Source organism: Homo sapiens, chromosome 5, assembly GCF_000001405.40.
Source record: "Homo sapiens chromosome 5, GRCh38.p14 Primary Assembly".
NCBI lineage: Eukaryota > Metazoa > Chordata > Mammalia > Primates > Hominidae > Homo > Homo sapiens.
In genome coordinates this window covers 84,167,895-84,186,235 of record NC_000005.10, presented here as the reverse complement: position 1 = coordinate 84,186,235, position 18,341 = coordinate 84,167,895, and the positions used below count along the sequence as shown (strand labels likewise).

The following is an 18,341-nucleotide window of genomic DNA, read 5'->3' as shown; positions in this document are numbered from 1 at the left end:
AGTGTTACAAGACCTTTACATATTACTTTAGTAATATTTTTTTTCAGTATCAAAATAGAGAAGACTATGGAATGGGGGTAACCACAAAGTCAAAACTTTTCCAGGATTTCTAATTCTCATATGAATAGCCTGCTTATTATCACTTGGGGCAATAAAACTGGAAACTGTTGCAATTGAGCATCAAACATAACTTTTGGCTAGGAAGCAACTTTTGTAAGTTGAGACCTTGGACTACATTTATTATGTTATCTTTATATACTAACTTGTATTCTGATCATTTTATCTTGCTCATACATGAAGTGAATGTTTTTATTTATATAGAAGTAGTTAAATTAAGTAACTCAAACAGTTAATGAGATTATACAAGTTACATTTTTCTTGATTATGTATTTGCCAAAGAATTAAGATACATGTAATCATTATGCAAAAGTACACATTCTAATGGTCTGTTATTTACAATTCAGTGTAATACATTTGAAGCTTAAACCATATTAGAGACAAAACACATTGGAATCTAATTATAAATTTAAAGGACTAGAAGCTTGAAAGGTGTAGAAAGGTTCCAGAAAATATCTAACTTAATTATTGAGTGAAAATCCAAAAGAAAATGATGTCATAAACCTAAAATTAGAATACAGTGTAGGCAGCAAATATAATTTTTAGAACTCATTATTGCCATATCCTTGTTTATTCAAAATGTATCAAACACCTACTGTGTGCCAACGTTAAGTCTTCCCACACAGAATTTATGGTCTAGTAGGGAAAAACAATAGGAAACCATTCATTTCAACACTCTGTCATGAGTACTTGAAAAAAAGTCTGTACAAGGCACATAACATCAGTCTCACATTATAATTACAGAGCCTACCTCTGTTCCTAATATCTAATACACTGTGACCCATTTCCTGAAAATATTCTGAAATGTTTCCATTTTGGAGTCCTGTATTATTTATAGGAATGTGCTTAGTGAATTCATGCTGATTCCGTTTACATCTGTGAAGACTAACATGAATACACAGATTTTCAACATGGTAGGAAATGTGGCTTAATGGAAAGGGCATAGACTTTATAGTTAGGCAGAGTGTGTTAAAATCTATGCTTTTTCAGATGGATATGATACTTATCCTCCCTGAGCCCATTTTATTGCCTCTAAAACAAGATTATAGTCTTACAAGGCATTATAAAGATAATATGTACACTCATATTGTCTAGCATGCATGCAAGGGACTCTAGAAAGGTTTAATCTTTGGCCCTTTTGCTTTACTCCATCCTCATCCATTAAATGAAAGTCACTGAATTTCTTGGAGTAGGAAAAATAACAGCAGCCATAACCTCTGAAACACATAATCTTTTTCTAAAATCCAGATGTCAGCCAAGGTCATGATGTCTTTTGGCGTGTAAATAAAATGAGCTCCAATGTACCAATTCACATCATCTAGAAATCCCAGAGGCTGCCCCAAGATTGCTGGACAGGCTTCACCTGTGCCCTCAGGAAGTGTCCAGAATGCTTGGGACTTAAGAAACCGCTGTTCACTCTATCTTCAGCTTCCTGAACCCATTGGATTCTTGAATCTCTTGGGCATCACATGCAGCAATACTTTTCCCCTTCTGCCAGGATAAGCCACATCAATAGTATAGCCCTTTCCCCTTGATTTCCCCAAGTACCACTCACAGGCTTGTGTGTTTAGCAGCTGTTATTATAGAGCTAGATGCTCCAGCAGAAGCAATTCACATAGCATCTGTGCAAACAACTTAAACCTGAATTTTGGACATCACAATTTCTTACTAGCTACTTTTCATCACATATTACAGCCTCCGAGCACATTGCTTGGATTCTGTCTCTCCTTGAAGACTATATTTCTGCCTTTCCTTTTAGAATTTCTGCTTCTCAGTTTTCTGCATCCATTCCCCAGCTCTTCCCTTTATTTCGCAGATCCATTTAGGTCATCTTGCTCTTCTCACCTTCTAGCCAAGTTTCACTTTTACAAAGACATAGTAGGCTTGAGTAAATAGCATCATAGATTCCAGGTTCCTATTTGCCCCATTTTTGTCAGAGAGACTTCCATTTACCTCCTTCCTTGGAATCACTTGTTGTTTTTTGTTGTTGTTGTTTTGTTGTTGTTGTTTCTGAGATGGAGTTTTGCTCTTGGAGCCCAGGCTGGAGTGCAATGGCACGATCTTGGCTCACTGCAACCACCATCTCCCGGGTTAAAGCAATTCTCCTGCCTCAGCCTCCGAAGTAGCTGGGATTATAGCCATGCGCCACTACACCCGGCTAATTTTGTATTTTTAGTAGAGACGGGGTTTCACCATGTTGGTCAGGCTTGTCTTGAACTCCTTGACCTCAGGTTATCCACCCACCTCTGCCTCCCAAGATGCTGGGATTACAGGCGTGAGCCACCGCACCTGCCCAGAATCACTGTTTTAACTGCTCTCAAGAACTCGCAGAGGACTTACTGTTTCAGTCATTTTCTATTCCTCCCTCGTCCAACCCTGTAAGTGTGAAGGAGCATGGAAGACTTATTTTCTCTGTGATATAAATTACTCCACTCTCTTCGGTAATTTCTTACCAGTTTTGGTTTAAATAACTATTTTTCCTCCTAGGAACAAGTCCTTAAACCTAATTTTTCTCATATTAAGTTGTTTCTAGGGAACATTTCTGAATTCGTATTTGGTTTTTTTCCTCACCTGCAAAACTGGAAAGTTGGATTAAGTGATCTCCAAGGACTCTTATTTGCTTAAAATTATATAATTTTTGACTGTAATTATTTATATATTTTTTTCTTTAGCGGTTATGTGCTTGGCTGTCAGTTATCAGTTAGTTTCAAAATCTATCATTTTTACTCTCATTTGAAGTGAATTGATGAGTCAAAACTCTAACATCACTATCATTTCATTCTCCCCTCCCCAGTTAGTTGATGCTCTGAGGGGTATAGGTTTTAGAATCCCAGATTCTTAGTCTGAGGCCTCAATCTGTCACTGGTAGATATTGATTGAGAAATATTATATAATCTTTCTGACCTTCAGTATTTAAAAAAAAACTGTAAAAGAGAATGATAATGACGAAGACCTAAGTTATAGTAAAGAATAAATGAGATGATTTATGTGAAAAGAGTTTATAAATTGTAAGGCACTATCAAATGTTAATTAATTTGTGAGGAGGGAGGAAGTGGAAACAGAGAGAGGAGAAGGAGAGATAGGTTCTGCAGCATGATTTTCATTTTGTAGCAATGAAAGAAAATGGTTCAAATTGTTCTATAACTAGTCATTGGTCATTCACCTTCTTTCCTGTCTCAAATATTGGCAATGTACCACCTCGAAGGCAGGTGTTAGATAATTTAATTGATATGTGCTTCACAGCACAAAACTGTCTACTTAAATAAATATATTGTTTTTAATTGGTGTGGTGCTGACAAAAAAAAAAAATCACAGAGCCCCTGAATCCTTTTTACTTTTTGAAAATCAGTCCTATCGGGAAGTCAAGGTCCGGGAACTGTACAGTTGCCACATTGTTTCCTGTTCCATGTGTTTCTTTGTTAGACTCCACAACCGTTGAATTTCATAACATTTTAAATGGAAAAAAATGGAGGGTCAAATACAGCTCTCAGAAGAAGAAATAGATTCATAAAATCTTGCCCCAGTGCATGACAAAGTTGCCCACCTTCTAAGTGCTTCCCACCCATGGTTGAGGTCCGATTGCAGTGCTTGAAGTGATGCTGGTGATTTTTTTTTTCCTATTCACAAGTTTGTTTGTTTGTTTTTTTTAAAGTTTAGTTTTTTGAGACAGGGTCTCATTCTGTCACACAGGCTGGCATGCAGTGGTGTGATCTTAACTCACTGCAGCCTCAACCTCCTAGGCTCAAGCAATTCTCCCACCTCAGCCTCCTAAGTAGCTGGGACTACAGGTGCACACCAGCATGCCTGGATTTGTGTGTGTGTGTGTGTGTGTGTGTGTGTGTGTGTGTATTTTTTGTAGAAGTGGAGTTTCACCATGTTGCCCAGGCTTGTCTCGAACTCCTGGGCTCAAGCAATCTGCCCGCCTCAGCCTCTGAAAGTGCTGGGATTACAGGCGTGCACCACCTCGTTCAGCTCTTGTTTTTATTAGTGGCTTTGACCCATGCAGGAGGAGTCATTCTCTATAGCACTCTCTGTTCAATACCCTTGCCCCAACCCAGTTGACTCAAGTTATTATTATTCATTTGTCCAGCTCTTCTACCTTGCTTCTTGTTTCAGCTGAACACACTCACTCCTTTTCTGAACAAATCCTCTAGGGCTCTCAAAATCACCTCTTCATACACAGTCAGATACTTAGTTTAATTACCCTTGCTTTCCTTTTCTAATATGTACATCTTAACTTCCTCTTCAGTGGCTTTTCTTTTCCTTATAAATATGTTCTACTCTCTCCAATTAAAATCAGTACAGACTAAATTAGAGAAAACTGTAGTTTTTTGTTTTTGTCTTTTTTCATCTCCCAGGGAGAGCTTTTCCTTCCTTCAACTTGACTCTTCCCTTCTTCACAATCTCAAGTCTGGATTCTGTCCTGAGTCAATTAACATCCTGCAGGAAGAAGACTGTAAGATAGAATTAAAAGTGTAAAAGATTTTTGGGGGGAATGTCTGTGATGCACAAAGGGGAGAGAGAGCAAGAGTAGATAGGATGAGCCTACAGACCGTGACATAGCCTGTCACTTTGAAGGGAGAAAAGGAAGGAGAGAACATGGCATAGAAAAAGTCTCAAACTGCTATGGTTTTAAGAAAAATCTCAGCCACACCATTGGGGCACCTCAGAGTACAGAATGTTTATTAGAGAAGTCTCAGGTCAGGCACGACTGGCCCAGCTAGCTCTATGCCCCTTTGGTATTTAGTTTTTGGCTGGGGAGCCTGGCCTTAAAATAAATGCTGCCACAGCAGATCCTGTGGTTCAGTAGCTGAATGTTGTCAGCTAACCACACTCCTGGCAGCTGGTTTTCTCCAAGAGAGCTCTGAGCAGCACCACACTTTCATTAGCAGCCACAGGTACTAAATAATCTGCTGTTACTTTCTCAAGTTTAAAAATGACCATCAGCCCCTCTTCTCTAAGTATGCAACTTTTGACGGACTGCTCGTTTTAGATTGGCAGAAAATGTGCTTCCCCAGAGGTATGCTCCACCATAAACTCATACTCTATAAAAGCTTTGCAGCCAGCTATCCAATTCACTTGGTTTATGTGGTTACAGCCATATGCTGCTTGTACCAGCAGGGGACAAAAATTGTGGAGTTGTGAATACAACTCCAGAAATTGCTATTCAATATTACTTTTTAAACACCCAGAAGGTATTCTACAATTCAGAAATTTTAATAATATCTAATTTAATGCTAATAATTTTTTGAGTACTTTACATGTGACAGACACTGTTCTGGGTATTTTATATGTATGAACTCTTTTCATCTGTATTATAACCTCTTAAGGCAAATTTTTTAGTATTGACATTTAACAGAAAAGGAAACAGGCATGGAGAAGGTAAGTAAATCTCTCAAGACTGCACGCCTGTGAAGTGGTGAAACCAAGATTCAAACCCAGGCCATTAGTCTCCAGAGCTCATACAACCAGTACATTTACTATGCCACTAATATCTAGAACACTTTTTTCTGTAAAATTATTAATTGCAAAATGTTGACCTAATGTCTACTTTTAAGAATATGCATCAAGCAGAAATATTTTTTTCTGTCTTTCAGGTCCCTGCACTCCTAATCCATGCCATAATGGAGGAACCTGTGAAATAAGTGAAGCATACCGAGGGGATACATTCATAGGCTATGTTTGTAAATGTCCCCGAGGATTTAATGGGATTCACTGTCAGCACAGTAAGTTATTCATAGTCATTGTACTTTTATTATTATTGATTACAAAGTATACAAGCCATCATCATTCTTGTTTGTAGTAGAATCATAGAATCTGAGAGCAGAAGAGAGCCCTGGCTTTGGCTAATGCTGCTTCTCTCCCATGGAATACACCATGTCCACAGTGGAGGACTCCTAGACTGTGTTTCAATCCTCCCAGTGGCATGGGAAGTTTGTAGTCTTCTGGTCATCCCTTTTTATTATTGCCCCACTATCCTTGCCAAAAGATGCACTTTACATTAAACTGATATCTGTCTCTTTCATATTTGTCCTAAAGCCACATCCTTTAAGTTTTCCAAAAATTACTCTGGTGATTAGGTTCAGAGATGATACCCAGAAAAAAAAAAACAAAACACAAAACTGCCACCCTGCCCTTAAGCCAGTTTTCTCCTTCTTACATGTTGGCATTTTTAGTGTGAAAATCTTTGAAAGCTCAATAAGTATGCTACCTGCACTTCTTTTTTAAATCCCAATTCTTATTTATCTTGGAAGGTTAAAGAAAGTAGATCCCACTAGTGATGATTTCTTCTTAGAAGGAGGGGTGAACATAAATGTCAAAGGAATGGTGTGGTGCCTTAGCACTGTAGGTGTTCAGCAAGCAGAGGGGCCACAGCCAACTCTAAGCTGTCAGGGAGATTCTCACAGAGGTTGCCACATGCAAGCTGAGTCTTGAAGGAGGGACAGAATGTTGATCAGAGACAGGGGAATGACACATAGTAGGAAGAGTGGGGAAGGAATAGGCAAGCCATGATTACTGTATTGATGGGTAAGACAATGGTATTAAGAACGATAAGGCAAAGCTGGATTTGTCAGCGAGAGCTGTATCCAAGCACCAGCAAAAAACAGAGTGCCTTCAGGCTCTGTGACTTTGGGAGCATCTTGTACTTTTCTGGAGACATGCCATGGCCAGAAGTTTGTAGAATTTCCGTAGAAACCTATTGTAGTGCATGGGCGTGTGTGCTTTGTACAACGGGCATCTAAACTACTTGGAATTGTCCCTAAAAGCTCAGATCACCAACAAAGCAATGAAAAGCTATTGATTTTTCTCAGGTTGGGCCCAGAGGTGCCAAGGCTAGGTCTCCCTGATGCTAGCTAGCATCACTGCTCAGCCTTCACACATGGACACTTCAAAACAGCCCTGGAAAGATAAAGATAGGAGCCCAGAATCTCAGGAGCCTTGATGTTCACTTAATCCCATGAAGACCATGTTACTTACCCTTACTTACCCTGTGATGTGGCATCAGAGGCAGTGCCCAGAGGGAAACAGACTGGCCACCCCAAGTCTTTTCTCTCATAGCTTCATACTATATTCAAACAAGCTTATAAATACTATATTCAAACTATAGCTTCATACTCTGTTCAAACAATATATAAAATATAGCTTCATACTATATTCAGACAAGCTTATAAATTAATATAATTTTGTTGAATTTCAAGACATTTCAAAGCACAAAGAAATCTTTCCCCTTAATACATCTGACCACCCCCACAACAAGATTTTAAACCCATGTTAGGAATTGCAGTGGGAATTGCAGTGGGAACTTGGATTTTGTTGTCTAAACCACCTAGTCCCTATTTTCTGCATTGCATTATTAGAAGCAACAGAAAACAGAGGAAAAAGGACTGGATTTGGAAGCAGAAACCCAGATTTGAGACCTGACCTTTACAGTTATTAAATAAGTGACCCTGAGTCAGTCATTTGATCTCTCTGTGATTTTTAGACGTACAAATTGGATAATTGAACTGGAAATAGATGGTCTTTGGTTCATATAAGCCATGAGTATTATGAATAAATGGATAGCTTACTCACTGTACAAAGGTTAGCAAGCTGTCCTCTTTATAGATGAAATTGAAAAGGGTGATATATTGAGAAAGCAGCTATAGAAGTGCTAGGGGCCCTGGAAGCTTCTTCAGCTAGGAAAAACAGAAAAAGAGCTCTTTAAACTCTTGCAAGGATTGCTAGGTATCTGGGTTTGTTTTTCATGGTGGTAATAGTTTTATGACCTAGATATTTAGAACCTTGCTACTCAAATGTGCTCGTGCATCAGGATCTTCAGGAAGTTTATTAGAAATGCAGATAAACAGGCATCACCTGAAATCAACTGAATCAGAATCTGTATTTTAAAATAATTCCCAGTTGACTCTCATATACACTGAAATTTGAGAAATACTACATAAGGCTTTGAATAGCCAAAAGTGATAATTTCATAGCTTAGCAACTATCACGTTCAGTTACATAATAATAAATATAGGCAAAATATTTAAGGTTTGTGAAAATCAAAACTATACTGAAAATCAATAAAAATGAGAGTTGTACAAATATGGCGTGAACATTTCATTTGGAAAAAGAAAATTAAACAATTTTTCAGACAGCTATATTGGGGGACTTTTAAATTTTGTCCTATATGACAGAATGTTAACTAAATGTCTTTTGGAAAATAGCTAGACATTTAAAGAACTTTAAATTTCATGATACAGGAGTGACAAATATATAGTTAATAGGTCTATTTTAACAACTATTTTATCAATATGTGACAAATTGGAAAAATTATTTCCAGCATCGGCATTATTACCTCCATATGCTTTTTAAAATGTTTTTGGGGTTTTATCATTAATAGACTTAATTTTTACAGCAGTTTTAGGTTTACCAAAAAATCAAGCAGAAAGTACAGAGTCCCATATATCCCTCCTCCTACATAATTTCTCTTATTAACATATCTCATTGCTGTGATACATTTGTTATAATTGATGAACCAATACTGTTACCTTATTACCAAAGTCCGTAGTTTAGAGTTCACTCTTTGTATTGTATAGTTCTGTGGGATTTGAAAAATGTATAATATCATGTATGTACTGTCACAGTATCATATAGAACAGATTCGCTAAACTAAAAATCCCCTGTACACCTATTTATCCTTTCCTACTTCTCTCAACCTTTGCCACGGATCTTTTTACTGTCTCTGTAGTTTTTCCTTTTCCAGAATGTCATGTAATTGAAATCACATAGTATGTAGCCTTTTAAGACTGATTTTTTTTCACTTATCAATGTATTTAAGGTTCCTCCGTGTGTTTTTAGGACTTAATAGTTTATTTACTTTTACCTCTGAGTAATAATCCATTTTATGGATGTACCATAGTTTGTTTATAAATTTGGCATTTGAAGAGTATCTTGGTTGCCTCTAGTTTTGGGCAATTATAAATAAAGCTGCTATAGACATTCATGGCAGGTTTTTGTGTGGACATAAGTTTTCAGCTCATTTGGGCAAATACCTAGTAGTGCAATTTCTAGATCTTATGGTAAAAGTACATTCAGTTTTGTAAAAGAAGCTTCAAAAGGTCTCCAACATGGCTGTTTTGTATCCTTAGCAGCAATGCATGAGAGTCCCTGTGTTCTACATCCTTACCAGCACTCGTTGTGTTTTGGATTTCAGCTATTAGATGTCCTTTTTATGGTAATGAAAGTAGCATGAGGTTATAACTTTATAAGAATAATGATTAGTATTGGATTTGGTATAGAATTATCAAATTTTATATATATATATATCATAGAAGAATGTGAAACACACGCATGCGCTCACACACAGGCACACACACACACACATATATACACACATACACACACCTCTGTGTGTGTAAATTATAGAATGAATTGAGCACCAAAATTGTCTACAGGTCAAACTTTTGAAAAGCATTTTTAAGCAAGCAGTTTTGTGCTGACAGCTGCATTTGGGACTGGCTAGAGTAATTGTATTTTATGTATTGCCTGGTAACAAATGTAATGCCATAGAGAAAGGTTATTTCTTCACTCCCAGAACTCCTTCCCATCTTCCCACAGAAGGCATTCTGTACATTCTTCTCTACCTGTGCACAGCTCCAGAGCCTTTGATTCCTTTTAAGAGCACATTTTCTTCTTTCCTACTTTTCAAGAAAAGAGGGCTGATCTGGGAGCCCACTGAGCCTGGAAAGAAACAGGACAGTTTAGGAGAAGTGGCCCATGTTATCACATTAGCTCAAGATAAAAGGCTCCCTAATATATATATATTATATATATATGGAAATATATTTTATATATAATATATTTTATACAATATATATAATATATATACAATATATTATACATACAATATATTATATATATATATATATATATATATATATTATATATATATATATATTTTTTACCACTGAGAAAGTTGGCCAGAAAAAAACAATCAAAAACTTCCCTCTTTGTATATTCTAACTACTTTAAGTCAGTTTGGTCTTAATTGTATATTAGTGATTAATGCAGTCCTACATTTAACCAATATTTATTGGGGTCATGAATCACTTTTGTAACTTCCATATTTCACTTTTCTCAAAGTTAGTCAATGATATTTGCTGTTTTCATGATCATTCTTAATTGCATTAATCACATATTTGGCAATTACGTGCTTTGTCTTCTATGTTACACTTGTTAAACATGTAGATTACTGGCCCCACTTCAGCCCTGTTGAATCAGAATTTTTGCTTGGTAGCCTGAATTTAGTTAAAAACATCCATATGATCCTTCAGTACACCAAACTTGAGGATTACTGACTTAAGGAATGACCACTACCTTCAATCACCAAATGATACTGGAGGAACCATGCTGTGAGGGGAGGAATTCTGGTTGGACCTGAGTTTCTGATACAACTCTATCTTGGTAAGTTGATGAAGCGTCATTCGGCATTTAATGGATCTGTGCCTAAGGTTTCTCATCCAGTAATTCAGTTCACTTCAACAAGCACTGAGACCTTGACACTGTTGAGTGTGGAAATAACACTTCTTTAAAAACTGTGATTAACAATCCTTTGTCCTGCTTCTCTAAACAGATGTGTGTTAAGATCAGATGAGGCGTTTCAGGACATACTTTACAAACTTTAAAAAGTTAGGTATGCCTAATGGACTAATACTTTAAAATATAATGGGGATTGCTATGGGTCTTTATTTTTTTCCCTTCCTTTAAAAACAATTATAATTTTTTAGGAAACATTTTGTGTAGTAAGGCAGGGGGAGGCTAAGGCTCACTATGTAGCTCCATACTTTTCTAGAATTCCTCTTATCATTAATTCTTACTTTAAGTTACTCTTTATAATTTTAACTTGATGGCTTCTTTTAGCTTTTTGTTGTGTTGGATTGCTATTAATGTCAGTGGGGATGGCACAAGGTTCGAGAGGCCAAAGAGACCCAGAACCAGGCAATGAGACATGGGGTTTATTGAAGTGGAGGTTACATACAGTGTGGTCCAGTAGCAGCGGGCTGGACAGAACTGCCACCGCCTACAGAAAGCATGCAGTTTAAATAGCATTTTCACTTAACACCCTCCACCTGGCAGTCTCCACCTAGCTTAAGACGTTATTGCTATCAGGTGGATTTACCATACACCTCAGCTCAGAATCTCCTTGAATGGCCCTAACATTTTTATCGTATCATTCTTCCGTGATTTCCCCAGGGCCAGGTATGCAGAGGAGCATTGCTGCCAGATGTGGCAGCAGCACTAAAAACTACAACAAAAAACAAATAACAATCACTCTGCAAAGATTGTTCTTCCAAGCACTTGGGAGTTGATCCTGTACATGCCACGGCAGGCCCATGGTGGAAAGCAGCAGCTCTCCATAGACCCAACAGTCCGTCTTGTTCTAGAGAGAGGCCACAGTCTGCGCCCAGTCAGTGAAGAGGTTCTCTGCCTAACATCTAACCAGATGACACCCAAGCACCTGACCAAAACGCTTGAACCTTGGACCCTCTCTGCATCAACCATCCATCCTCCATTTGCCTAGTGGGACAACAAGGTGGGGGCTGCAGCCTCCAGGCTGGAAAAAGACTTAGAAACCAGCATATCATTAATGCAATGGAAAATAGGTACCCCCTCCATTCCATAACCATCTATTGTTGTTATAGGCCCTTTGAACTGATGAATGTTACCATATATGAGAGTGTATTCCACTCTAGTATCCACTAGGGCAAGCACAGCCTATTCTTATTTGTCCAATATATAGTTAGTTCTACATATGGCCTCTGTCCTCAGACACCCTGGCCACCATTGCTCCCATCAGAATTTTGAAGCCTTGGCCTTCATCCAGGTCTAAAAGTGCCTGCCCTTGCCATCTCTCTGCAGGAGAGGCAGTGAACTGAGCCTGAGGCTCTTTAATGAAACTTTGTTCTGGCTTGAGCTTCTGCCATAGCCTGACCAAGACAGCATCAGGTTGTCTCCACCCTCACAGTAGGCATTCCTGCTAGCATGCCATGCCATGTCTTCAGCAGGCCACCCTGATGGGCCCCTCATCTGTCTCCTTTCCTTTGGCTCCTTTGTCTTTCATCCCAGCAGTGCACCACCACCCCCTCACAACCCCACGCACAGACGAGTGCACCATACCTTTGGTTTGGCAGGGACTCTTAGATGGCGTCTTTCATGCCAGCAAGAAAAGTTCATTGCTGGGACCTTGGCAATGCTCAGCATAGATAGCATGCTTCACTCCTAATTCCCGGAGGAGTGCCCTGCAATCCCTCCATAGTCTGTCATCACAAAGGCCACGTGGGGACATCTCCCTCACTTGGCCTGGCTATCTTGCAGCAACACTCACCCAGCTGAGGAGGGGGATGGCCCCGTCTCCATTACTGGCACCACAGAGGTGCTGCTTCCAGGCCGGGTGGTTTGTGATGGATGCCATTTTGCCATTTTACTCATCTCAAGTCTGGAGAGTATAATAGCCTCTGCCTGCATGTTCCACAGATGGAGAAGCCACCCCATGATTGACTCTCTACCCTTCTGTCCTAACCTGTTTTTAGCTCCACCAATTCTACAGTGGGGTCGTCCCATATTGTGGTGCGCTGCTGTCTTCCAGGGGGCGGGAGAGGGGGGCAGTCGTGCGAGTCTGCTTCCAGTGGGTGCAGGGGAGTTGGTGACTCTTCATACAGGCTACCTGAAAAGCCAGGGTCTCCATTTTGTCTGGCACCTCTTTGTAGTCACAGCTCGTCCTGCAACTGGCAGACCCTCACTTGCACCATGAGCTCAGCCTCTATGGCTGCTTGGAGCAGGGTCAGAAGCCGCCCACCAACTGTGGCTCCCACAGCTCAGGCATCTGACCCTCACTCAGTCAGATCCACCCCCTGCAACAACTCTTCCAGACCACTCAGTGTTTTCAAGGCACCTCCATACTCATGTGGTGGGCCCCATCCATCAAGTATAACAGCTACCAGGCCCCACACAGACATGCATGGCCAGCCTAGGATTTATCTCGCAGATTTCTCCTTCTCAGATCCTATCTTCTGGGCACTCATGGAGTTTTCTCTGACCTCCTGTTGTCATGCTGGACCTCTGTTTACTTCAGTAGGGATGGCACTAGGTTTGAGAGGCTGAAGAGCAGACCCAGAGCCAGCAAAGGAGACAGGGTTTATCAAGGGGGAATTACATACAGAGCTGCCCAGTGGCAGTAGGCTGGACAGGAGAGCCACCACTGCCTGCAGAAAGCATGCAGTTAATATAGCGTTTTTCACTTAATGCCCTCTACCTGGCAACCTCTACTTAGCTTATCATTGTTGTTGGGTGCATGTGCCATGCAGAGTCATTCTCAGGGTATGCTTAAGTTATTGCTATCAGGTGTATCTACCAAATACCTGGTGTACAGTACTGGTGGTTGTACAGTATACTTTTCCACTAGAAAACCAATATTCCCTAATAAAGAATTCACCTCATTCTTTCCTCTTTTTCTTTTATTTTTATTTTTTTGTTGTTGTTGTTGTTGTTTTGTTTTTTTGAGACAAGGTCTCACTCTGTCACCCAGTCTGGAGTGCAGTGGTGTGCAATCCTGGCTCACTGCAACCTTCATCTCCTGGGCTCAAATGATCTTCCCACCTCAGCCTCCCAAGTAGCTGGGACCATAGGCATGCCACCATGCTGAGCTAATTTTTGTATTTTTTATATAGTCAGAGTTTCGTCATGTTGCTCAGGCTGGTCTTGAGATCCTGGGCTCAAGCAATTCCCCCACCTTGGCCTCCCAACATGCTGGGATTACAGGTATGAATGACCATGCCAGGCCAAGAATTCACTTCAAAAACTGCGTAAATTTTTACCTGAAGTTATTACTGACACTTGCAAACTATATAAAAATATTGGTGAAATAAAGACCTCCAAAGAAACTTCCAAAATGGACTTGTCTCCAACCCTAGAAGATTTTCAGACTAGAATCGAGAAATTTTCCTGCTTTCCAATGGCTTTGCCGGTCAGTGTGAGACACCTTAACTCTGTAAACTAAGGGATCTCACACTTGCTGTGCATATGAATCATGTGGGGTCCAGATAAGTATACAGATTCCTCTTGCCAATCCATAGAGATTTGAAGTTAATAGTTTTGGAGCCATGTCTGATTATTTAATAAGGACCCCAATGAAAGTGATGCAAATGGGTCTGGAACTCTGGTTTTCAATCTTGGCTACACATTAGAGTCACCTGGGGCATTATAAAAAATACCAATGCCTGGCTCTCACCCCAGAGATTCTGACTTAATTTATCTGGAGTATGGCATAGGCATTAGGAGTTTCAAAACCTCCCCAGATAATTCTAATGTACAACTAAGACTGAAAATCAGTGTTCTAGAACCATATGTGAAGGGTTATAATGCCTTAAAGAAACTAAGCACAGAAATAGTCAAAGAGAAACCAAGCTTGGGATAGGTTATTATAATCCCACACTGAATGTGTAATCGCACAACCTTATTGAATTCAAACTTTGTTTACGATAATGGAAATTGTCTTATAACAAGAACCCCAAAATGATTAAAAGAATCAGGGCAGAAAAATATATTAGCTTACTGCTCTTAAAATCTGACCCTCACTTAATCGGATCCACCCCCTGCAACAACTTTTAGCCCATAACCTATCTATAGGAGCCAGAGTTCCAAGGCATTTTTATTTTCTTGTTTTTCTCCTTTGGCTGGAAACCAACAAAGACCACTGTCATGGCAGACATATATAATAGCTATTTGCACAAAGACACTATTCCAATATAGACACAAAGTTTGTGATTTTTGTGATACTCAGATATGTATAAAGTCCAAAATAGTTGAAAATTGCTACTTTAGATTAACAGTAAAACATTTTTTTCTTTTCTATTCTTTATTTTTTTAATATGATTGCCAGAAAAACAATAATCTCTGAACAAAAATGTTAGATGCATTTTGCCAGAAGATTATACTCATGAAGGTAGTATATTTATATTAATAGGCCTGAACTTCTAGAACTGATTCAGCCAGGTGCGGTGGCTCACAGCTATAATCCCAGCACTTTGGGAGGCTGAGGCAGACAGGTCACCTGAGGCCAGGAGTTCGAGACCAGACTGGCCAACATGGTGAAACTCCATCTCTCCTCAAAATACAAAAATTAACCAGCCATGGTAGTGGGCACCTGTAATCCCATCTACTCTGGAGGCTGAGGCAGGAGAATTGCTTGAACCCGGGAGGTGGAGGTTGCAGTGAGCCGAGATCACACCCCTGCACTCCAGCCCGGGCAACAAAACAAGACTCTGTCTGTAAATAAATAAATTAATTAATTAAAATAAAATAAAATAGAACCGATTCATAATTTTATAAAGATTGTTCCCAGAAATAGAAATAGTATTACAAATGCAGTTTTTAAAAAATTGCATGTAATTCAAATTTCCTAGGCCTTGTAGCCAAAGGTGATACTGATTTCTAAATTACTGTTGCTCTTAGTTATCATCTTCCAAGTAAGTTGCTTAGGTAGGATTTCATTCTCCCCTAAAGTCTTCCCCAGCCATGTGAGGAAATAACTTATTTATTTATCCATTTGATAAATATTTAATGAGAGCTTACTTACTATTTTTCAGAATACCACTGCTGTTGTTCTGACCTTGAACATAGTGATAAGGGAAGACTACTCCGTTCTCTGCTAATGGTCACCTAGCCAACTGAAACTGCACATGGTCTAAGGTCAAGGTCAAGCCTAGCCGTTTTAATGGCATTGGGTCTTACTATGTTCTTGGGAGTTGGAAAGACATGTGTCTTTTCCCAGAACCTTACAAATCTTTTTGTGAACACCGTTGCTCAGCCTTTCTTCCTTAACTTCTCTTTCATTCAGGGTTCAGATATCTCAGGCTATTTGGAGACAGATGCTATGGCCACACCTCTCTTATTCTCCTCTCTACTGTCTTTCCCAAGAAACCATTTTGCAATATCATTTCTCCTGTAAAGGCAGCTATAAACAAGAGAATAAATTTTCATGAGGATCTGAAGCTCACTTATACAACAAATATATTATTAACTCCCTACTCAGTGCAAAGCACTAATCTGGATAGTGGAATATAGCACTGAACCAAAATAACCAAGTCTCTGCTGTCATAGAACTTCATTAATGGAGAAAAAGATGATGAAAATGTGACACAGGCATTACCATACAGTCCAGCAATTACACTCTTGGGCATTTATCCCAGATAAGTAAAAAGTTAAAGTTCACACAAATACCTGTACCTGGATACTCATAGCAGCTTTATTTGTAATGCCTGAAATCTAGAATTGCACAGATGTCCTTCAACAGGCAAATGGTTAAACAAACTGTGGTACATACATACCATGGAATTGCTACTCAGCAATGCAAAGGAAGGACCTATTGATACATACAACAACTTAGATAAATCTCCAGGAAATTAAGCTGAGTGAAAAAAAAAAGCCAATCCCAAGAGAATACATACTAGATGACCCATTTAATTACATTTTTGAAATGACAAAGTTTTAGAAATGGAGGATAGATTAGTGGTTTCCAGATGTTAGGGACAGAGGGAAGTGAGTGTGGTTATAAAAGGGCAACATGAGGTGTCCTTGTGTTTGAACCATTTCGTATATTGACTGTGATGACACATACAGAAACCTACATATGTGATAAAATTCTATAGAGCCTAATTACATACACATATCAATATAAGTAAAACTGGAGAAATCTGAATAAGATTGGACTATCATAGTAATGTCAATATTTTGGTTCTGTTTTTATACTGTAGTTTGTAAAATGTTAACCATTGAGGATAACTGATTAAAATATATATGGTATTTCTTTGTATTATAGTTTTTCAAATGGATATGAATCTATAATTATCTCAACTAAAATTTCAATCAGAAATAACAGCACCACAATGCATAATAACAAGTTTTGTTATGTTTTGTAAGAATGGAGATTATGGAACAAAGGGGCGTGAGTGCTGTTTTAGAGCTTAGCCAAAGAAGCTTGCTCCTACCAAGTAACAAGCAGAGATGTGAATGAAGTCAGGGGGTCAAGTATGTGAATCACAAGGATTAGCAAGTATTGAATCCTAAGATGGGTATGTGTCTGGAGCATGGTGAGTGATTAAGAGAGTGGGCAGAAAGAGGACCTGAGCAATAGTCAAGGACGTGTAAGCCATAGAGAGGACTTTTAGTTTTATTGTAGTTGTGTAATTGTAATTGTGGAAGCACACTTTTGGAAGGTGGACAGCAAGGGAGTAAATGAACTAATTTCTATTTGGAGAATGATTCTGGCAGATGGCAAAGAATAGGTTCAGGTGGGGGTAAGCGTGGAACCTTGCAACCACCTGGGAGGTGATGGTGGCTTGGACCAAGGTAGTAATGAACACTTGGGAGGAGTTGAACAATGTTCGTATATGAAAAATAGTTTGAAGTCAATTACGACCAGCATCATAAATATTTATGGGATATTTTTGTTAATTTCAGTAGCATTATAATTATTTCTCTTTTTACCTCACTTTTTACTATAGATGTGGGCAGCGTAATATACTGTTCTTATGATTTCAAGTATGCATTGTGATTGCCACTCTTTCTATCTTTCAACAGCATCATTAAGATAGAATCTAGAAATTTAAAGAGAAATAATGTATATGTTCATACATATATAGGTATGTACAGGTACAAGGAAGGTCTTAAATATATTCAATGCTATTTAGGATGTTGAATTTTTAATTTTTGATATTTTTAAAAGACCCATAAAATTGGTTGTCTTTAGATATATTGTGTGTTATGTGTCATGATAGTGTAATGCAGTATATTTTAAAGAAAACATAACAGAAGTATGTAAATCAAGACTAATAATTACATGCTAAAATACAACAATGATTTTAAAAAATAGAACATCATTTACATTTGAATAGGAAATCTGGAAATCACAGTTGCATAGAGTGGATATTTACTAATGTCAGCCTTTAGAATGATTGATTTTGCTCTCAACATTTTAATTTATTTTGCAATTATGCCATAGCCTAGAAGTTTAGAGAAATTTAAGGCAATGCATCGTTTGGAAATAAGCAGACTTAGATATTCAGGAGATTTTAATCATTTTATATGATATATCTTAAATTGAAATATTTCCAAATGAGAATTATTCTCTCCTTGATCTGAAAATGCTTTTTTGGTTGATAAGTAAAGGAATTGTTTCTGACTTTTTC

General features: G+C 38.6%; 1 protein-coding gene across 2 annotated transcripts in view; it reads left to right on the top strand.

The window, feature by feature from the left end:
- Positions 1 to 18,341, top strand: part of EDIL3 (EGF like repeats and discoidin domains 3) — a 444,327-nt gene that overhangs the window by 198,645 nt on the left and 227,341 nt on the right. For both annotated transcript variants that reach the window (NM_005711.5, NM_001278642.1), the window contains one exon: positions 5,715 to 5,843. In NM_005711.5, coding sequence (NP_005702.3) covers positions 5,715 to 5,843 — 129 coding nt within the window. The remainder of the gene's footprint in view (positions 1 to 5,714; positions 5,844 to 18,341) is intronic.